General features: G+C 37.7%; 1 protein-coding gene and 1 long non-coding RNA gene across 12 annotated transcripts in view; one reads left to right on the top strand and one right to left on the bottom strand.

The window, feature by feature from the left end:
- The window catches only part of DLGAP1 (DLG associated protein 1), a 959276-nt gene that overhangs the window by 452663 nt on the left and 483050 nt on the right, over window positions 1-23563 (top strand). The window lies entirely within an intron of this gene.
- Window positions 1-23563, bottom strand: part of DLGAP1-AS4 (DLGAP1 antisense RNA 4) — a 51591-nt gene that overhangs the window by 11299 nt on the left and 16729 nt on the right. Inside the window, exons 2-4 of the long non-coding RNA NR_102696.1 lie at window positions 9443-9554; window positions 7296-7428; window positions 6929-7037 (exon numbers count right to left, since the gene is read on the bottom strand). This is a non-coding gene — a long non-coding RNA (DLGAP1 antisense RNA 4). The remainder of the gene's footprint in view (window positions 1-6928; window positions 7038-7295; window positions 7429-9442; window positions 9555-23563) is intronic.

Genomic DNA, 23563 nt, shown 5'->3' with positions numbered 1-23563 from the left:
TGATAACATCGTCATTGAATACATATGTTGTATGTTATATGTAATATGTATTACATATTGTATTCTTACCATAAAGTAAGCTAGAGGAAAAAAAGTGTTATTAAGAAAATCATAAGCAAGAGAAGATATATTTCATTAACTGGAAGTGGAGTGGGTCATCATAAAGGTCTTTATCCATATCCTCACGTTGAGTAGGCTGATGAGGGAGAAGAGATGGGTCTGGTCTTGCTGTCTCGGGGTGGCAGCAGCCGGGGAGAGGCAGAAGAAAATCTGCATGTAAATGGACCTGTGCCGTTCAAACCTGTGTTCTTCAAAGGTCAACTGTATAGTGCATCAGAAAACGTGTTAACATAGACAGGCAGGTAGATGCTTACTAATAAAGTACAACAGAAATAGACTAAAAGTTTGGTTGCTTAAAGTAATTTAAAAGTTTCGTTGCTAAAATTTTGGTTGCTTAAAGTAATTAGGAAAGTGGTGGCAAGGTGGCATAATTTTTCCACCTCTCCAAATCACCCCATGGAAACAGAGCAACTAAGATAGCAAAAGCAAGACCTCCCAGACAACATCTCCAATAAAGCAGCGGGAAAACACATCCCTATAAACCAAATATGTGTGGGTTGTAATAAACTACTGGTGAGATTAAGACCTGTACAGTGTCTTCAACACATCAGAAGAAATAAAAAGAGGACAAAGGGACTTCTGATGGCCCCAAGAGGCAGAGAAACAAAAACAGTTCACAAGTATTCACTGTAAGGCTTGGTGGGCCACTCTGGGAAGGGCAACTGAAACCCCTAGAGTCCTGCCGCCTCCAACTTGTGGGTGAACCCAAGAGAACCAGCTTGTGCTGGAGGAGCCTGTGCCCCATGGACCCTAAAGGGACCCTTAATAGCCATCTCCTCCACAGCAAAACCCCACATTGAGGAGAAACTACTGGAATAGAATCCAAATTGAGCAGGAAATAGATGATAGGAGCAAAGGAGGCAAAAGAAAGAAGACGCAGATGCAAGTGGAGGGAAGAGCAAAGAGCCAACAGATAGCAGATACATACTTGTAAACACATCCAAAAATAACAGAAAAGGCAGCTCTAAATCTCTAGAGCTAGGAAGCTATCCTGGTTCACTCTCCTAAGAGTACAAGAAAACTCATCTCACTTAAACATTAATAAAGAAAAAAATGGCCATCGAATCTACCATAAAGAAAAATGATTTGAGGAATGTAATGTCTCCGCAGACAATAAAAGCATGCCAGAAAGATTTGCAAACAAAACAGAAGAAAATTTAGCCTAATATTTTAACTCAAGCTGAAAAAAAAGATAGCAGCTTTTAAAGAACAGCATAACCCAGAATTTTAAGAACTCAAAAAGAAGCTAATTTGAAAAAACAAAGACTTCAAAAGGAGTTTATAGAAATAGAAAAATATTAAGAGTTGAAGAAAAAACTTATTCCAAAATTTTAGACTACACTAGAAGAAATAAAATAGTGAATGAACACTGCAGAAAGTTCCTTAAGAAAAATAGAAAAGAAAAGAATGAATATTTTTAAAATAAAAAGATTTAAAACATACATATGAAAATGGCATAGAAAATAGGAATAGGAGAACAAATGAACATATAATAGAAGTTCCTAAAAAAGAAAATCAATGTAATGAAAGAACAAATATTATCAATTATAATTCAAAGACTGCTTTTCTGACATAAAAATACACTTGCCCAACATTTGAAAGGACGTACCTGGTAAAACTGGCCCAGAATGCACTACATATAAACAGTCTACTAAAACTATTGACCTTTAAATAAAAAGAAAAAAGGTTTTTTTGGCACTAGTTAAAAAGTCAATATCCCTTATAAGAGAAGGAAAATCAGATTGTCATCAGACTTTTTGACAGCAATGCTTTGTGCCAGAAGACAATGGTATAAAATATTTCAGAAATATTAAGGAAAGCAGATGTGAGCTAAAGATTTTATAACCAGCAACATTGATCTTTAAATACCATGGTCACAATTCTTAATAAACACACAACAACTCAGGGAGTAATGTTCCTATGAGCCTTTCCTGGGGAATTTATGGAGACCAAGCCTCGGAAAACCAATATGACTAGAGAATCATCGACAATAGAACTGGCGGTGAGCATTAAGTAGACATTTTTTTGTATAACTCATAATGCCTGTAGTTTACGAGGGAGAGAGTACAAAATGTGATGGCCATTTGCTCTATATACAATTAACTGTCAAAAAATGAGGAGGGGCATAAACTGGAAAGAGAATATAAAAAGTAGAATAAGCTCTGTGATTGCCTCAAGGATATCAATGGAGAATAAAAACATATCCGTTGAAAATAGATGCCAGGGAACAGGGGAGAAAGTGAAGAAGGGGTTATTAGCTAATTTCAATTTTATTCATAGTAGGATGAGAAAAGTAAAAATGGGACTAAAGGTATTATTTACAGATATTAATAAAATTATAGATAATATGAAGATGTTAATAAAAAGGGCTCAGAACAAAATAGCACAAACATTTCTAAATACAAAAAGAGGCTGGGTGCAGTGGTTCACACCTGTAATCCCAGCCCTGTGGGAGGCCGAGGTGGGAGGACTGCTTGAGCTCAGGAGTTCAAGACCAGCCTGGGCAACAAAGTGAGAACCCTATTCCCTACAAAAACATTTTTAAATTAGCCAGGCGCAGTGGCATGTGCCTGTAGTCTCAGCTGTTTAGGAGGCTGAGGCAGGACAATCCCTTGAGTCCAGAAGTTTGAGGTTGCAAGGAGCTATGATGGCGCCACTGCACTTTAGCCTAGATGACAGAGCGAGACCCTGTCTCAGAAAGAAAACACAAAACAAAAAGATAATGAGAGAGAGAGAACACATGCGCACAAGCAAATAATGTAGGCAAGTGCTTCTCAGACTCTGTAGTGAAGGGCCACTTTTCCCCCCAATAATTTGTAAGCGACACTTGAAATATACAAAATCATATGCTTGAATTTAGTGGCAATATCAAATTACTTTAAATGTTTCTAAATGTGTTTTGTTGTTGTTGTTGTTTTTGTTACTTTCTATTCACAAGTCATCATAGCTTGGTAGCAAACAGTTCATGGAGCAGCCTTGATATTGACCACATAGGAAAAGAGTAGAAATGTAAGGCAATAAAGATAGAGGTAGTCACGGGTATATAGATGTGACGATGTTTGCATGCTTGTATGGACAGAAATACATGTAACAAATATGACAAAAGTGATGCCAAGCATTTGGATCCTAAAAATAAATTTACTGATTAAATTTACATTTATAAAAATATTTCCAGATTACCTAACAAAGCAAAACCCAACACTCCAGGTTATATACATATAAACTTTTAATAATAATATGTATGTTTCTTTCAGGTGGAGAAAAGTCTGTATAGTATGCTACCAATTATCTAATAAAGGAGACGGGATAAAAAATACAAATATATATCAATTTTGTATAATTTGTATACAAATTATATACAAATATATACTAATGGACATATAAATCACAGCATTTAAAAATAAAATATTTAAAGGTAGAGGAAGGAAATAAGATTGAGGAGACAGGGAGAAAAACTAGACTTGTTTTGTAAATTTGACTCTAGAGTCATGTAAAACTTTGCATTATTACAAAGCAAAATTCAATTTAAAATAAAGTGATTCCTGAATATCAAAAGTAAAATAAGCCTATTGAGCCTGTCTGTCCAGTAGGTGGCAGAACAGCACCAAAGGGACTATTCCCAAGTGACCGTAAAACACAATAATTTGCCTGTTTTAGCGGAATGTTATCATAATGACAAAAACAACTGCAAAGTATCTTAAGCTGATTTTTGTAATCATTTTGCTAGTGGTAGTCTTCTATTTATTCGAGACTGTTGCACATGTGTATTATGAATACAGCAAATGAATAATTATATTCATGTCAATAAAATTTGAAATTTGACAGGGAAAAGGACACTGTGAAAAAAGTCCTCTACTTGAATTTGAATAGGAAACATCATGAATTCATGATGAATATTATTTTATTAAAATACATGTTTTCTAGCTTTGTTCTCTGAAAAGATGGAACGTGCTCAACCCTTCACACACAGATAATGTTCTCTACATACCATTTTCCACTAAAAGGAATCACAGGCTCCCTGAAGAAATAGCTGATTACAGGTCTGTGGAAGGAAGTGTACAAGACGGACCTGGAATATCATAAACGGCTTTGGTGATATCAGAACTCTGCAATTAAGTTAACTCTGCAATGAACTGAGGCACATCAAATATTAACATTCATGAATTCCTAATAATACTGTTAAAATAAAATATTATTGATCATCCTTGGAAAATGCAAGGAAACCAAAATCATTATTTTAAAAACTGGCAAATAAAAGGAAGAGATCAAACATTTTTCCTAACTTCCCTATACATATTATTCCAAGTAACCAAGCAGTTGATGAGATGTTTCTCTTGATAAAAGTACTCCATCTAATAAATGAAGAAGGAATTTTAAAATTTGAGTATTGCCATTTTGCAACCTTTAATGAATTATTGGGTGTAGACAATGGTAATCAATGACTGCCAACATCACAAAAAAGCCACCAGACATATGCTTCTGTATGGAGGTACACACCACCACCTGTGGGGTATTTTGGCCAAAAATTGAACCTCAGTCTGATGATGTACCTGGGTCTACTGTATTCAGTACTAATCCCATGTGGCTACTGAGCATTTGAAATGTGGATAGGCCAAATTGAGATGTTCTGTACACGTAAAATACACACCAGATAGCAAAAACTTAATATGAAAAAAAGATGTAAACTATCTCAATAATTTTTAATATTGACTTTAATATTGACTTAAATTTTAAAATTTAATATGTATGTATGACTACATACATAATATTTGTGACATATTGGGTTAAATAAAATTATATTATTAAAATTAATTTTAATTTTAATGTTTTCTTTTTTTAAATGTGTATTTTAAAATTTTAAATTATATTTGTGGCTCATATTTCTATTGTATGGTGCTGTTCTTAATTCTAACTACAACTTACAGGAAATACACTGGACAGAGGAACATGTTAAATGACACCTTACAGGAAATACACTGGACAGAGGAACATGTTAAGTGACACCAGAAGGATAGAAACAGTAAAACTCAGGCTTTAGAAAACTCTGCAACTTGAGGCCCTCATAAGGACTTTTCTGTCCTCCTTTGACCAAACTGTTTAACCGAGCCTAGGGGTGAGGGGGAGCGACCCAAGCTGGCATCTTTCTCTACGGAGACAGATTTTAGAAAATACTTTTCTTGCCCATGAATTTCTTTTCTGGTTGATTTTTATCATTTTCCCTTTACTTACAAGAAAATAAGATTGCAACCACTCCTGCTAATGATTTAGTAGTTCCTTTTCATTTCAGTTTTTGTAAATTAGGAGATAATTCTAAGAGTTACTAAAGGATGATTTATTTAAGAGAACTACGTCAAATAGCGAATGAGTTATGGGTAACATTAGACGAAAATAACCTTTCCCGTGGGAAAGGTTTCTCGAAGGCATGGATGCAAATATAAAATATTAAAAAAAAATCTAAATAAAGCTTATTTTAAAATATGAAAAAAAAAAAAAAGAAAACTCTGCAACTTATATTTCTAATCCAATTTAATGGTGGAGTCAAAGTTACTAAAAATTTATAAACATGAGCACTGTAATTAATGTGTAGTGTAGTCCTAAACATCAATATCTGCAAAATCATAGATTTGATATCTCAGTTTCATTTTCACTATTGCTCAAATAATGCATAACAATAAAAAGCCTATACATTTGCATTGGCTAAAGTAATTTATCACCAGTGGTATGTGAACTGCACCATGGAAAACAGATATATTTTCAATTTTTCAATCTTTAATAATCTGAAAACTTGATTCTCTCAGTTTATTCAGATAGAGGAATACATAGTTATGATTTCTATACTATTAGCCTTTTTTACCAATATAATTAATTTTAATAATATATTTTGTTTGACATATCTAAATATAAATTTCAACATGTACTAAATATAACAATTATTAATGAGAAATATTACATTCTTTTGGCTTTGTACTAAACATTTGAAATGTGCTGTACATTTTTCACTTATAGCCTATGCAATTAAAATGCTATATTTTTATTAGGAATATTTAATCTAAATAGATATCTTAAAATTTACATTTGAAAAAAATAGATTCAGATACCTAAGTTGTTACAAGCATACGTAAAAGTTTTCAGTGACTGAATTGAGTATCAATCAGTTTTAAAATTTAAATCAGTGAAATTAATTAAAATGAAATGAAAATTTAGAAACTCCATTTCTCAGTCACACTGGCCACATTTCAAGTAGAAAGCCTTTGTTTTTAATTCACTTTGTCCTAAAGCTGCAAGTAGAATTTCTACATCTTATCAGAATTGACTTGTTTAAAATATTTTTCAATTAAAACATAATACAAAGCCACTTAGATATGTAAAATTTAAAAATTCTCCCTTTTCTCTCTTCCATCTTTACTGTTTTCCCCAAATTCGAGATCAAATTAATAAATATATTTAAAATGTTTCTAACTTTAAAAGTTAAGTATTGAATTAGGCTTACTTAGACTTCACTTGTAATACAGTATTTCTTACATGTCTAACATAATAGGTGCTCAAAAATATTAGGTAATTTGTCTCCGTTTATTAGATCAGGAATTATTTAATAGTATCTAAACTTTTACTTTTGCTTTTACCCATTTATGAAAAAAAATCATTCCAGCTTAGCATGCTTTAATATCTTATTGGGATAAATAAATAAATAAGATTAAATATCTAAATAATTTACAGAAAGATATCTTACATTCTCTATAGCAAAACACTGATGAATACAGTGTATATATTGAAAGTAAATCTTGGTGGTTTTTTTTTTTTTACTCACGTTGCACCAAAGCGAGAGAACACTAGGGGGCAGTGTGGTTAGAGCAGAACTCTCAAGAGGCTTGGAAAGGTGCGCTGAAATCACCAACAGCTGGTGCGATAAATGGGGTCTAATAGCAAGAAAAGAATGCATTCGTTTAACTTTACTTTGTGAAGTTACGTGGCCCACATGCATATTATTCACAAGGTCTTGGAAGAGACGCTTTGTTCAAACCCTGAGCCCATAAGTTTAGGGACAAGCTCTTCCTGGAAAGGTCTTTCTTACGGAATTTTCTGTCCCGAAGAAGATACAAAAGAGTAGAGCATTGCCAGAGAGTAACAATTCATAAATACTAACCCCAAGTGCCAGTATAATATTTAGTTCCTACCTCATTTTAACCTTCACTTGTATCCACCATTCCTTCTATTTTCTTCTATTCACCCGGGCTTCTTTGCAGCACAGTCATTTTAAGAATATTCTGAGAGCATCTTAGCTCTCACTCCATTTCAGCTCAGTGAATTCTAAGGCAACAAAAGTGTATTAAGTAATTAATCCATAATGCCAGCCACTACCTAAAAAAAGGATAAGGCCAAAGCTAAAAAAAAAAAAAATCAAAAGCTAGGAAAACTTATTAACATTTTCTAAAATTACATTGTTGTTGCCTATTTTAAGGGCATGAGTAGTGACTTTATGCTACATTTTGCAAAAAGTATTGAGCATAATCTATAGATACTTAATGTATGATGAGGTAAACATTTACACCTCAGACTCAGAACAGGCAGACAGCTAAGTTCTCTCGCTTTTTAAATATGCAATGAATTTTCTAATAGTCAAGTAACAAATCTATTTCTCTTTTAGAAAATTAGAATCTATATGTATTAAAGAGCTGTGCTCCAAATTGTGAGTCTGGCCTACTTAAATTTGAATAAATCATTCTAGAGAGTTGACATTATTTAGTTTTGAACAATTCTTGAAGTCTTTTTGGACTTTATAATTTAGCAGCAGGTGGTTCTGGTCATTTTAAAAGTCCGTGATTAATGTAACTAATCCTAGTTAGTGTTTAGTCATCTCTTCAGATCTTTTGTACCTGGAATTTCTAGAGCCTATTTGCCTGAAATTGTATAAATAATAAATGGTTTGCTGTCCTCTATATAGTGGCAAGCATCCAGGTTTCTGCAACTCGAAATTTCAGCTCCTCTCAGCTTCTATCAGGTTTGAGATATTTTTAGCCGCACTCTGTCAGTCAGAATCCCATGAAAGAGAATCCCATTAAGAGAGTTGAGGTGAATTTAGAGAAGGGTCTGTTTATAGAGCAGGGAGCAGGGTTAAGAAAATACAGCCAGAGAGGCCGAGGTACCCAGAGACAAGCACAGTGGGAAGCCCTCGCCACTCTAGGCCTGAAGAGTCAGATGAAGGGAAGGAACGGGGTCCCCAAGCCTATGGGCACTAGAGCTGTGGACAGGCTGCCATCGCAGAGGGGCAGATTGCTGCTGAAACACCAGCACAGGGAGGAAGTGGCACAGAAGGACCCAGAGCTGTCTCCCCCACCCTCGGCACCCCAGCCAGGGCCTTGCCTGGATCACCCGGTGCCAGGCAGGGAAAAGCCAAGCACTGGGGAAGGTGGCCTAGGAAAGGGAGGGTCACAGGCCACTGAACATTCTCACTCTTAATAAACAGAGTTTTACGCTTCAAGGGGGTCTCTGTGGTTCTTCTCTCCTTATCTTTTTACTTCACTCACCACATTCTTACCAAACCAAAAGGAAAACAACAGTGGAGGGAAAGTCTTACACATGTCAGGCTTTTAGACAGAACCTTTTATTCCTCATCTCATATATATTTTCTGCTCTATAAAAAACTAAAACTTTATCTTCTCAACATCTCGCTATGATAAGCTTTTAAGTGGGTCTTAAGCCCACTTAAAAGATGCTGCACCCTGATTTTGTTGCTGCACCCTGATTTGGGGAAGCTTGGTCAGTGATCCCATGAGAAGGGAAACTATGAGAGATTCATTCTCTCCTGAATCGCTTAGGAGGTCCCATTAAAGCCCCTGCTAAACTCGTCATCCCCAGTCTGGACCACGTTTGGTTAATTTCCAGTTTTTCCTTTCCTTGCAATAACCTGCTTGAAACTCCACCAGGGAAAATAAATAATAATTCAAATGCAAAACGCGTTGTCACTTTTATAAAATATTGCTCTCCTTGCCCCACCCTCACCCCCTCCCTTTCTCCCCTTCATGATTTTTACTGAAAGGAGGAAAGACAAGGAAATCTCAATGGTTTCATTCTTAGCACACATTCTAAGTCTGTCATTAAATGACCGCTGATTTTGTCACATACATATGGACAAAACTCTGTAAGAAAGCAATTGATTAAAATCAATGAGAATTTGCTGCGCTGAAATGGAATCAGTGAATAAAAATTTATTCTGTTTCTTTTCTTTTTTCTAAGAGTCCTCTCCATTATTCAAAAGAAGCCTGTCTTATCCTGTTTCCAAACTCCTTTTCCTTTTCTTTCCCCTATGCTGTTGATTTCCTACCTTCTTCCCACGTGAGTCGCCGGTGCAAGAGGGGGGTTCCTGCTTGGGTACCCACATCAGTAGGTTTTGTCTCCTCATCTGCTTGTCTTCTGAAGATAAATCGTTGGCAGAACTGAAAAAAAAAAATCATGGAATGGCTTTTTTACATTTCTGCCAGGGGGAGGCTATTTTGTAATCTTTTTGCAGCCTTCCTGTGCACAACCCAATCCCAAGCTGACTTGATTATCTCCTTAACTGTTAAGAGCAAAATTTAAAACTGGATTTTGTTACCTGCCCCAGGAGCAGATGCTACATTGCTGAGGTGTCTTGTGAATTGCCAGCGTTCCTTTTCTTTTACAGACAGGTCTTAAAGGTCTTCCAGGGACCCCCTATTAGCCAAATAACCTTGATAGTTATTACAGAGAAATTGTAATTCTTTTTGAAAGTATTTGTACACTCATCCATGCCAATATTTATAGATCAGTTGATTTTTCCAGGTTGTGTAAGTTGCTAACAATGGAACTCCATTTATTTATTTATTTATTTAGAGACAGGGTCTGGCTCTGTCACCAGGCTGGAGTACAGTGGCATAATCACGGCTCACTGCAGCCTCTGCCTCTCAGGCTCAAGTGATCCTCCCGCCTTAGCCTCCCAGTTAGCTGAGACCACAGTTGTGCACCACCACACCTGGCTAATTTTTGTAATTTTTGTAGAAAACAGATTTCACCATGTTGCTCAGGCTGGTCTGGAACTCCTGGACTCAAGCATTCCACCCGCCTCAGCCTCCCAAAGTGTTGGGATTACAGGCGTAAACCACCGTACCCAGCTGAGACTCCATTTAAATAGGTGGCTTTTATGTGAATTATTAATTTTGATAAAGAGAAGAGAAAAGCTGATAGATCAGTGTTTAAAAATCATTTTATGAACTAAGTTCAAAAGAACAACTAGGGCCTGCAGACTTCCCTACTTTACAAAGTAGTGGCCTGGCCAAGGATGTTCCAAACAAGAAATCTTTTCAAACGTGCTTTAAATCATTAAAATAGGGGACCAATATGAGTAAACCAATATAATGAGGCAAACTAAGTAGGAGATTTTTAATGAACATTTTCAAGGCACAGGGAAAGAAGCCACAAAGAGTAACAGCATTTTTCTGCACATACTGTCTTATGAATCTAGATTCATCTTGTTTATTGTGGAACTATGTGATTGGGTTAGCCATCAGGGGAGAGAAGTACTTTATGATGTAAAAGCTGAGTCTCCAGAGATAAAAATCTCTTCAATTTGTCATTTTTCAAAATATCACAAAGAATCCATGTTTCCGTGGTCTTCGATAAAGAAAGCGTGTCAAGGCAAGATATACACAAAAAAATAAATCAAAGTGGTTAGTTACAATGGGATAAGCAACAGCTACACTGAAAAATTCTATATGTAATGCAGTTTTCTTTTTGTGTGGAAAAGAGTAGGACAAGATATGAGATTCCTGGTCTGGAGAGTGGGTGAGATATTAACATATTAAAGCAGGAATGTCTGAAACATGCATTGTGTATTTTCCACTGTCTCAGCCCAAATCAGGCATAGCTCTGGGGAGAAGGGAGAAGGGCAATACCAACCAGAAAGTATCTCTGTGATTCTTCAGGCTGCTTGGGCAGTCAGCCTCCAGAAGAGACCCCACTCAAATCTGGGTCATCCAGGCACACTGGCCACTCACCACCTCTGCGGTGTTATTTCAAGGATGCTAACCCCAAGGTTCCCACCACTGCCACTGGCCAATATCTGAAATTCCCCTGACAAAGCTTCCTCATTAGCATAAGGTTTGGACTCCTGAAATGAACCAACCATGTCTCTTAAACTTTTCCTTGAACTCTATCCCCCCACCGGAAATACAGAGAGATGAGTAAATACAAATATATAAGAATTCTATTTAATTCTAATCATTTCAATATTTACTGAAAAAGTCTGAGCAAGACATCAGTAAAAAACTATAAAATCTCAGAATGGGCTTGTGCTTTAGAGATACAGGAAATGAGGTCTTTTGTTTTTTGTTTTTTTATATTAATATTTACTTTATTAGAAATTAAAACAAATTTTAAAAAAATTTGAAAAATTACCTATAAAGTTTTATGCTGATTACCTGGGTGACAAAATTATCTATACACCAAACCCCTGTGACACACAATTTACTCATGTAACAAACCTGCTCATGTACCCCTTGAACCTAAAATAAAAGTTGGAAAGGAAAACTAATAACTCCATTAAATCTTCACATAAATAACATACATTTTAGAAAAAAAATAACCATTTTGCCAAAAAAAAGTGAGTGGTTTTATTTTACATTTTTATAACTAATAACTGGTTTAATAGAAGGCAGCTAAATTCCTATATCTGCCTCTTTATTCACTCTGTTGCATGTACTATGTTGTCTTGGTCAAACTGTAGAAGGCAAATCTGGCTTTACATACATATATAATGTGAGAAAGGAGGAGTATTTAATAGCACATATATTTCTGGTTATTCTTCTTTTAATACTCAACCAAAACTCAACAAGTAGTAATTTCTTTTTATTATTATTATTATTATTATTATTATTATTATTATATTTTAAGTTTTAGGGTACATGTGCACAACGTGCAGGTTTGTTACATATGTATACATGTGCCATGTTGGTGTGTTGCACCCATTAACTCGTCATTTAGCATTAGGTATATCTCCTAATGCTATCCCTCCCCCCTCCCCCACCCCACAACAGTCCCCAGAGTGTGATGTTCCCCTTCCTGTGTCCATGTGTTCTCATTGTTCGATTCCCACCTATGAGTGAGAACATGTGGTGTTTGGTTTTTTTGTCCTTGTGATAGTTTTCTGAGAATGATGGTTTCCAGCTTCATCCATGTCCCTGCAAAGGACATGAACTCATCATTTTTTATGGCTGCATAGTATTCCATGGTGTATATGTGCCACATTTTCTTAATCCAGTCTATCATTGTTGGACATTTGGGTTGGTTCCAAGTCTTTGCTATTGTGAATAGTGCCGCAATAAACATACACGTGCATGTGTCTTTATAGCAGCATGATTTATAATCCTTTGGGTATATACCCAGTAATGGGATGGCTGGGTCAAATGGTATTTCTAGTTCTAGATCCCTGAGGAATCACCACACCGACTTCCACAATGGTTGAACTAGTTTACAGTCCCACCAACAGTGTAAAAGTGTTCCTATTTCTCCACATCCTCTCCAGCACCTGTTGTTTCCTGACTTTTTAATGATCGCCATTCTAACTGTTGTGAGATGGTATCTCATTGTGGTTTTGATTTGCATTTCTCTGATGGCCAGTGATGATGAGCATTTTTTCATGTGTCTTTTGGCTGCATAAATGTCTTCTTTTGAGAAGTGTCTGTTCATATCCTTCACCCACTTTTTGATGGGGTTGTTTGTTTTTTTCTTGTAAATTTGTTTGAGTTCATTGTAGATTCTGGATATTAGCCCTTTGTCAGATGAGTAGGTTAAAAAATTTTCTCCCATTCTGTAGGTTGCCTGTTCACTCTGATGGTGGTTTCTTTTGCTGTGCAGAAGCTCTTTAGTTTGGTCCTTTGTTTTTTAACTTCAAATCAAGACTGACAAGTTAACATTTGTTTGGGGGATCATTAACACAAACTAGTTGAAGTCTTGGATGGATGGTTAATGCTGAATAAAGCTCATCTGTTCAAGCTACACATCCTGTTTGGATTCATTTGTCATCCCTGACGAGTTATCATACAATGGCTGTGTGGATACAGCCTCAGTGTGGACACCTCAGTGGACAGGAAGTCTTCCTTCTCTTCATTGACACACAGCCTCCTGAGCCTGCCACTTACCAGCTCTGTTCCTGCCCGTAAAGGCTACAGGAATTAGTGGAATCCCTCTCTCCTGTGCTTTGCCACTTTATTAAAACACAGGAACCCTCAGAACCTTCTCCTTCTCATCCCATGCAGCTTTACTTTCTCACATGATATAGTTTCCATTTCCCAACTCTGCTGGACTCACTAAGAAAAGACAGTGCCGTCCACCAGCAAGGACGCAAGCTAGGCTGCTCCAGGGAACTGGGTAACCATGGCCAGCAACTCCCTTCCCTCCAGGAGCATAGGGACCGGGTCCTGGGAGGGAGAAGCAAAAGTCCCGAGCAACCCATTGCCTCGGAAGTGCAGCAGTGGAGGCAGGAGGGAGCAGCCGGGCCTGTGATGCCTGCCATAACCTCATGTTCTGGAAAAGGACAGTGACGAGGAATTCATGCTCAGATTTGCATTCAGCTGTTTATCCCAGTTAAGCCACGGCAGTCAGGAGCTGGAGCTCAGGAAATGTCTGAGCACATTTACAGCTACCCAGCGCCACAGCCGCGGACTGGCATTAGAAACTGATTTCCAGGTTTGGTTGAAAGTGAAGAAACAAACATTATAAGCTAGGGGTCCCCAGCCCCCAGGCCACAGACTGGTACTGGTACAGTACACAGTGCATCTTTCAGACATCCTGCAGTACGGGTCCGTGGCCTGTTAGGAACCGGGCTGCATCGCAGGTGAGTGGAAGCTTCATCTCTATTTGCAGCCGCTCCCCATCATTTGCATCACTGCCTGAGCTCCACTTCCTGTCAGATCAGCAGCAGCATTAAATTATCATGGGAGCGCCAACCCTATTGTGAACTGTGCATGCAAGGGATCTAGGTTGCCCGCTCCTTATGAGAATCTAATGCCTGATGATCCAAGGTGGAGCTGAGGCAGTGATGCAATCACTGGGGAGTGGCTGCAAATACAGATTAACATTAGCAGAGAGGTTTAACTGTGCAGAGACCATAATAAGTCAATCGCTTACAGACGCACATCAAAATCCTATCAGTGAGCGGCAAGTGACAATTAAGCTGCCTCTGGTGGTAGGCTTTATAGTGGCAAGTGAGTTGAGGTACTTCAATTGTATAGCTGCATCTAGTGTCCTGAAATGTATGTTTGAGAGAACTTCAAATCCCCATAGGTTCTGGGTTAAAGTCAAGGCGGAATATCCTGAGATTGCAGTGACAGCAACCAAAATGAGATTATAGAGTGAAGTGGACATAAGCAACACTTATATCACTGTCTCCCATCACCCCCAGATGGGACCATCTAGTTGCAGGAAAACAAACTCAGGGCTCCCATTGATTCTACCTTATGGTGAGTTGTACAATTATTCCACTACATATTACAATGTAATAATAGAAATAAAGTGCACAATAAATGTAATGGGCTTGAATCATCCCGAAACCATCCCCCGCCCTGGTCCATAGAAAAATTGTCTTCCATGAAACCAGTCCCTGGTGCCAAAAAGGTTGGGCACCACTGGTATAAGCCACAGAGAAAGTACATACATAGTCTAATGTATAATTTATAAAGTATAGCACATACTCTTAGTCTAATGATTTCAAGATGAAATCCAAAAGTTAAAGACAAAACGCTCTTTAAAATATGCATAGAAATCTGTAATTGGAGCATATAAGAAAGACAATATCATGATTACATTTCATTAAATAGTCATTGTAGGAATGTTAGCTTTGAATAAATTATAACCTCAAATGTATCTAAGAAAATTATAAAAGTGAAAATAAATATCTCTGAACATACACTTTTTAGACTTTAATAACTAAAAATAATTATAATATAGGCATAGTTCTGTGGGTGAAGTGAGTTCGAATACGCAAAGCACTTGGAACGATGCCTGGTACCGAGTAGACCCAATGTAGCTATTTGCTTTTGGTAGACAGATGCCATTCTTTTTGTTAATCACAGTTATAATTGAATTTTAGAATTTTTAAATAGGACGAAAGATTAGTGCCCATTGAAGCCAGTGGGTTTTTTGTTTTCCAAACTTTTTTTTGGTAGCAAAATTCAGTTTTCAAAATCCTTTCTCCAAACAATCGAGGAAATGGGGACCTCAGTGAGTAGGCCTGGAAGAGGAGCTGCTCTGCAGGAAGTGGGGCCAGATTTCTATCTATTAGCAATCTCCCCTTGAGGCAACTTTGGAACCCAGTCTGAACACTAAGCCAAGGCACTCTACCATTTGACAGATGAGGAAAATAAACCCTAGGGAGGTAAATAAACCTAGGGAGGTAAATGCTCTCATTCTCAAAGCTAGCACAGTCAGATTGTTTTCCAGAAAATAATTAATACCTAACATACCTGGAAACGAGCGCTATTTGCAGGGTGATAGTCAAGTTATTAAACCAGTGTCCAATCAAAATGGCTCTGCGTAGTCAGAGCCTCGTCCTGTGTCGAGCATTAACTTTTCAGTTGCTAAATCATAGGACATTTTTGTGGGAGGCAGGGTGTCACCATTGAAGGGTCCAGTATCCGGGGAGCTCAGGACAATAGGTAATTACCAACTGGTATAAAAGTGATTTTAACAAGGTACAATCATACCAGATGGGTAACAGCTAAATGTCAGCCCTGGGCGTTTGAAGATGTCCTCCGCAGGCTAGAAAAAAATCCACGTTGGATTGGAATCCTGCTGAGAATAGCTACACTATAATTGGAACTCTGGAGACTGTATCTGTTCCTTCTCATTTGGTCTTTCTAGAAATCAAAGTTCTCCTCTGGACTCTTCCAAAACATTTAGACATTTACTGGCTTCCAAAAGAAGGAACTCATGGTGATATTGACCATTTTTAAAGAAAATAAAAGCATGAAGCCGAGCATGGTAGTACACACTTGGAATCCCACATATTTGGAAGACTGAGGCTAGAAGATTGCTTGAGGCCAGAAGTTCGAGACCAGCCTGAGCAACATGGCAAGACCCCATCTTTAAAAAAAAAAAAAAGTTAAATCAAAATAAAATTTTAAAAAGATGCGAGTGGTTGCTTTGTATTTATCGTTCAAAATAAGTTGAAGGATAGAAAATGATAGCTGAATGCCACTAATTGTAGAAGTTGATCTGTGTTTCCATCTTAACAAAAGGATTTGTAAGAATACTTGTCATTTGCTTACACTTATTAAAATAAATGGCTTCTACCAGCAGTCTTGACGCAGACTATCCACCTGCATAAGAAACGGGCGATGGTGACAGAAGGAAAAAAAAGAACAAAGCCCTGCCGGGTGCCCCAGTGGGAGAATTGGTATGTTGGATTTGAATGGGAAGAGGGAGGATGTTCCAGAGGTGTGTGGGGAGAGATGGGAATAGAAAATGAAGGACTGTGTTGTTATAAGAACAAGCAAAGCATATACAGACAGCTTATGAATTTGCGCTAGGATGACTTTCCGCTACATCATGGAGTTTAGATTCCCCATGTCAAAGGCAGATCTGTATCTCTTTTGTATTCCAGAAAAGTATTTGCACATCACTTTTCTGGCTCTTGGGGGAGGGAGAGAGGCATGGGAGAAAATTCATTTAAGTGTATGCCTTAAAATGAAGTGCATTTGGCTAATGAGTAAGCAGCTGTTTAGTTAAGCAAATGACTCATACTGGGGTATTTATAGAGCACAACTATTTTTCAAGCCTGTACAAATTTAAAAGAAAGAAGTTTCCCTATAACCCCAAAGCAGATGTTTCTACATTTATGAACAAAGCACTACTGAACAGTAAGCCCGTCCTTCAGGTTTATCAATGCATCTATTAAAACATATGTTAGTCTTCCTAGGAAGTATATATCTCTTCATTGAACAGAGAACACTTATAGAGTATTTATTTTGTTCTATGTTAAAAAAAAAAAAAAAGTAAGTCGAAGGCCCAGGCTTTAAGAAGTAAAGTCTGATCAGAAAGTTATATCATCTGCCCAAAAAATATAGCTAATAATGAAAAGTGAGATTCAAAATTGACAACCACAGGAGTGCCATGAGCTGTAATTAGCTTAACTTTTTATTTGCTTGTAACTTAATAGCCAATATTTTTTCAGAGCTTAGTATGAGCCAGGCCTGGAGCATTTGAGTCCTCTTGTTGAAAAAGTATGTTTTACAAAAAGACTTTAAAATGAAACTGAAAGCAATAACATAAATCACATCAGGAAGAGAGGGAGACAGTATGACACTGGGGATCACATGTGGCTCAGAGGTTCTTGCTAATCAAGGTAGAAAGGGGATCAGGATATGTTAGAGGAACTCAAGGAGGCAGATGCATGTGGCTGGTATCTTTGAATAAGGGTTCACACAGTCATGAGATGTGAAATTACCTTTAAAGAATGGGTTAGGATTAGATAAATGCAAGTGATTTCCAAGAAGGGACAATGGCTTTAACAAAAACAATGAGGGTGGAAATAAGACATAGCTCCTCACTGAGTGAATACAAGGCATGGTTGGGATGGGTCAATAAACCTGTCTGAATGGAGGACACAGGCAGGGGACAATGGTGAAGATTGGTCAGGAATCAAATATGCCAGGGCCTTCAGAACCGGCTGAGCTCTGTGGGCAAAATAAAGACCCAAACACCGAGATGGATTAACAGGGGAAAGATGAACCTGGGCTGGTGAGACATGCATGCAACAAGGTAGGACTAGGGGCAGGGGATTCAATTAGGAGTTGATTGTGGACTGGCCTAACATAAATAGGCCTCAACCAAGGTCGAGGCAGAGAAAATGCCAAAGAAGTGAAAATGAAGGAATGGCAAGGAAAGGGGATGACTGCTTGGCTGTGAGAAGCATTGGGAAAGAACATTAAAGATGGCTTTAGAGTCGCCAGCCTGGGTGACAGGGTGAATGTGAGAGGAGTACATCAGTCTCATCAGAGGAGGAATTATTTTAGACACCTGGAGCTTAGAGTGCTGTCAGAACAGACAAGTGAAGCAGTCTCAAGGCAGCCAAAAATGTGCAACTGAGACTTAGTCAGTGCAGACTTGGGATTTCCATTTGAATGATCTAGCACAGGGCAGACTTGGGGTAATTGAGGTGATATGACCTCTGAGACATTGTAGAGACTGAAGCCATCCTGAGTCAGGGGAGACCACTGAAGGGACCTGCCCTCACAAGGGATTTTGGTTTTCTTAGGTCACCATGAGAAGGGACCACAAACTGGCAGCTGAAACAACAGAAATTGATGTCCTGACAGTTCTGGAGGCTGAAGTCCGAGATCAAGGTGTAGGCAGATTAAGAAAAATGATTAAGATCCTGTGTGCTTTGTCTTAGGATTTTCTGATTATTTTTTTCTCTTTCAAAAGACTGCAAATTGGAGAAGTTTCAGAAGCTTTTCCATTCCGTGAGGATCTTTTATTTTCTTTTATCTGTCCCCAAGAGCCTCTTTTTTTCTTCTTCCCATTATTTCTGACCAGATAGGCTCTCTGTGCCTGTTTTTTGTTGGGAAAGAAACCTCTACCACAAGTTGCAGTTTCATGTTCCCGGGGAGCATTTCAGTGGTAACTCAGTCATTATAGGGGTGTTGTCTAAGAACTTGCCTAGCTGCAATGGTCCTGCTGATTCTGTTATCTCTTTAAACAATGCGGTAGACGTTAGAATGGGCTGATGATTTATTTTCCCATTCTGGCAAGTTTTACAAGTGCTTCTTTCATAATAGGAGAGTCTTTTTTAAACGGGGGTAATTTAGATTTGTTTGTTCTTGGAAGGAGGGTGGGGTATGAGGAATGCCATAATCTTACATTATGGTATTAATCATTCTTTGTTCAGTTTGTTCTTTTACAGGTTTAATCTTGCATTCAGTTTTGATAGAGAACATAAAGCATTTTTTTAACCTAATGATGTCTCAAGTAGCGGTGGTACTTGAGATGGCTCATTTTGTACATTACTTCATGGAAAATAGATTCTTGGCACCCCCAACAACTAGTGTGAGCTGGCAAGCCACAGATCCTTGGAGGTTCAGCTGCTTCCTCTGTTAAAAGCAGATACTGACACATAGTGAGTACATCAGGCAAATGAGCTTTATTTGGGGAATGTTGAATTTAGGGTCCTGTTAGAACATACAAATAAATTTGTCCTTATAGCACTGTTTTGAGATTATATAAGTACCTGGCATAATTAAGTAATGGCAATCACTATAATTATCATTATTAATTCAAGGTACCTTTTTCTTTTTCCTGATGGATAACCCTTACATTCTTACAAATACTAAATTAATGAATAAGAAAAAATGTGCATATAATTTTGCTTTGAAATTTCAAATAAGGAAAAATAAATCTAAAAAATAAATATTTTCTATATTCCTTTGACTCTGAAGAACCACCCAAAAGAACCCTCTAATAAGTATGCATCTAATATTTTCTATAAGCAAGTTTTTTGGGAACCTTTGTTCCTGATATGTTATTATAATTCCTCAGATACAAGCAATAGTGAAACCACTTTACTCTTTAATCATCATATGAAGGTTTTAGTAATTATAGAAAATGACACTTAAGAAAAAAATTCAAAACAAATTTCATAAGATATCTAAGCAATGATGGTTCATGTTTTGATTTTCCACCATTCCATCACATTCTCAATTCAAATTTGTAAGTAATTATTAATTACCTAAGTCTGCGACTCACGGTGCTAGAATGTTGTAGAATATACCAACCAGTACAAAATGGGCTTCTTGCCATCACTGAGCTTCCAAACCAGCTGGAGAGAAAAGACTTAATGATGAGGAGAAGAAGGGCTATAAATGGAATGAATGTCTTAAGGGCTTACCATGTGTCAGGCATGTAGATAATAAGAACTGATCACAGGCTATCCCATGGAAACCTCACCACGTCTCTGAGAGGTACCCCCATTGATGTTCAGAGAAGTTAATTACCAGCACCAAATCACAAGTCTGTCTGTCCTGCTCCAAAAGCAAATGCATTTTCTATATTATAGAAAATAATATAGAAAATATTAATTGCAAAGTTAATCATTCACATTGTATCTTGTCACTTCCGTGTCATGGAGCACAAGTGTGTGTATTGAGTCAAAGGTGATCTGAAGAAGGCACACGTCCATGTATAAGTGTGCCGAAGTAGCTGAGATATGTACATGACGTGGAGACAGTGTGACTTTTAGAGATAAACATTTTAATGACAACAAAACCTGCATCCTGAAAAGCAAGGTGAAAATCACAGTGAAAAATGGTTAAGATCCTGTATGCTTTGCCTTAGGATTTTCTGATTTTTTTCTTTCAAAAGACTACAAACTGGAGAAGTTTCAGAAGTGTTTCCATTCCATGAAGATCTTTTATTTTATTTTATCTGCCCCAAGAGCCTCTTTTTTTCTTCTTCCTATTATTTCTGACCAGATATGCTCTCTGTGCATTATTTTTTATTAGAAAATGCATTTTACTTTTACCCATCAGGAAAAGAAAGTTAAATAGTAACCAATAATATAATATAAAAAGTAGTCAAGATAACTACAGAAGAGTTGTCATAAGACATTAGCAATGAAAAGTATGTGTTGTAGGAGATCAGAGGAGGGAAGAATCACTAGATTAGGATGATTGAGGAAATTCCTGTGAAAGAGAATCCATCACTATATTTCATATACATATAGATGGTACAGTATACCATAAATTCTCTATTATCCAGTTCAGGCCATCCTGGGACACCCTGAAAATAGTCAATCAGTCCTTTATTTCAATCTCAAGCATTTTGTCCCAAGCCATGCAGAATCTGAAGGGCATTGGAGATTTAGTGAGAGTTTTTCTCACCTAGTCTACTCTTTCTCTTGATTGTCCCCAGTGCCCTGTTCTTAGTTATAGAGCCTTCTGGGGCATCACCTGCCATCCCTTTGCCTTGGGCAGAGAACATTCCCCAGAAACTCTGCTCTTCCTTCCCTCCCTCTAAGATCCTTAAATCTTTTTGCAACCTTTTAACTCCCTCACCTCACAGCCCTGCCTCCTACATGTATGGCCCTAGCAGGAGCTGTGGTCTCCGCCAGGTCTGAATCCTCATGGGTCGGGATGAGGACGGAAGCCTCAAGAGTGCAGCATCAGAAGATACTCCTACTTCACGTGTGGGCACACAAATCTTTAGTCACTTCTCCCTGTGCTGAGTTGTGCTGAAGTGTGTCCTTTTCCTTGCTAGCTTTGAATCAAATCACAAAAGGTGACAGTGGAGCAAGTGCAGAGGAAAACTGAGTGTTCTCATCAATAAAATACCCTTTCGTCTGATGGGGGCAAATATCCGGCATTCTGCCCGTATGAAAATACAGGTCTTTGGAGACAAACAATCCTACTTTTTAAATTCTCTCGCATTTTGAAGTTCCACTCTTTCCAATGTATTTGCTAACCATGCATTCTTTAAAAATGAGAATCTATATGAAAAAGAACTAGATCTTGTCTTTAAAAAGTGACCTTAGGGCATAAGTCCAAGAGATCTATTGAACAAGATGGTGACTATAGTTAATAAAGATGCATTGTATACTTGAAAATTGCTACAAGAGTAGAATTTTAAGTATTCTCACCGCAAATAAATGGCAAATCTATAAGGTAATAGATATGTTAATTAGCTTGATATATGTATATGAATATATGATACGTGTATGCATGTTTCAAAACATCATGTTGTATACCACAAATATATACAATATTTATTTTTCAATTCAAAAAATAAATAAATTTGTAAAAAGCGACCTGCAAAAATGGTCAGTAATAAGCATATGGACAAACTATCGGGACCCTAGAGAGAGAACAGTGCAGTGAAAATTGCTGAGCGTTTTGGTTTTTTTCCTTTCCGGAAAGGAGTAGGAAAGCTATGTGGCAGAAACACCTGTACATCTAAGCAAAGCTCTGGTATTCAGCTAGGAATTAGGAGATGCCCTTCCTTTTGCAAACACATTTAAATCACATTGAACAAAATTACTATGGGTAAAGATGAATATCCCACTTCATTTTGGACACAAATTATTATAATGCCGTAAGCACTTTCTGCTCCTGCTCATCAAGTGCAGCTGCAAAGTCTGGTGTCTCTCCTGTGGCAGAGCCGTCTTCCTCTATGCTCCAGTTTGGAACTGGGCTGCTCCTCCCAGGTCCTGCCGCCTCCACCCAGCCAAGACTCACTTGAGGCCGTAGGTTCTGCCTCCAGATAGGCCGCGATGCCTGAGATCAGACCCCTGCAGCCTCTCCTCTTCTCCTTCCTCACCATCTCTATCTCCCATTATCTTTTTTGTTTTTTACTTTTTACTTTTTTTGTTTATTTATTTATTTATTTTTTGAGATGAAGTCTCGCTTTGTCACTCAGGCTGGAGCGCAATGGCACTATCTTGGCTTACTGTAACAACCACCTCCCACGTAAAAGCAATTCTCCTGTCTCAACCTCCCAAGTAGCTGGGATTACAGGTGCCTGCCACCACGCCTGGCTAATTTTTGTATTTTTAGTAGAGATGGAGTTTCACCATGTTGGCCAGGCTGGTCTCGAACTCCTGACCTCAAGTGATCCACCTGCCTCGGCTTCCCAAAGTGCTGGGATTACAGGCGTGAGCCACCGCGCCCAGCTATATTTTTACTTTTAATTGACAAATAATAATTGTGTGTATTTGTGGGGTACAGTGTGATGTTTTGATCTATGTATACATCATAGAAGGATTCAGTCAAGCTAATTAACATACCTGTCATCTCCCAATTTATCATTTTTTGTGGTAAGAACATTAAAAATGTATTTTAGCAATATTGAAATAAACATTATGCTTAACTGTGGTTACCATGCAGGATAACAGTTGCAGTGTAATAGTCCAACTGAAACTTTGTACACTTTTACCAACATCTTTTCTTTCCCTATCTCTTCGTCTCCTCTCTAGCCTCACCTCAGATAACCAAATTTCTACTTTTTCTTTCTAAGAGATACGCTTTTCAAAAATCCACGTGAGTTAATACAGTACAGTCATGTGTCAATCATGGGAGTACATTCTGAGAAATGCATCATTAGGCGAAAACACTGAGTGAACATTATAGAGTGCAACCCTAGATGGTACAGCCTACCCCACAACTAGACTATATGGTATAGCACATTGCTACTAGGCTGCAAACCTGTACACATGGTACTGTGCTGAAGACTGTAGGCAGGTGTAACACCACGGTAAATATTTGTGCATCTAAACATAGAAAAAAAATGGTAAAAATAGGGCTCTATAGTCTTATGGGACTGCCACTGTACATGCAATGCAGTCTGTGGTTGACCGAAACATTATTATGTGGTGCATGACCATAGTGGTTTTTCTGTGCGTGGCTTATTTCATTTAGCATAATGTCATCCAAGTTCATCCATGTTG

Source organism: Homo sapiens, chromosome 18 (genome assembly GCF_000001405.40).
Source record: "Homo sapiens chromosome 18, GRCh38.p14 Primary Assembly".
NCBI classification, from domain to species: Eukaryota; Metazoa; Chordata; class Mammalia; order Primates; family Hominidae; genus Homo; species Homo sapiens.
This window is presented reverse-complemented; position numbering and strand designations above follow the sequence as displayed.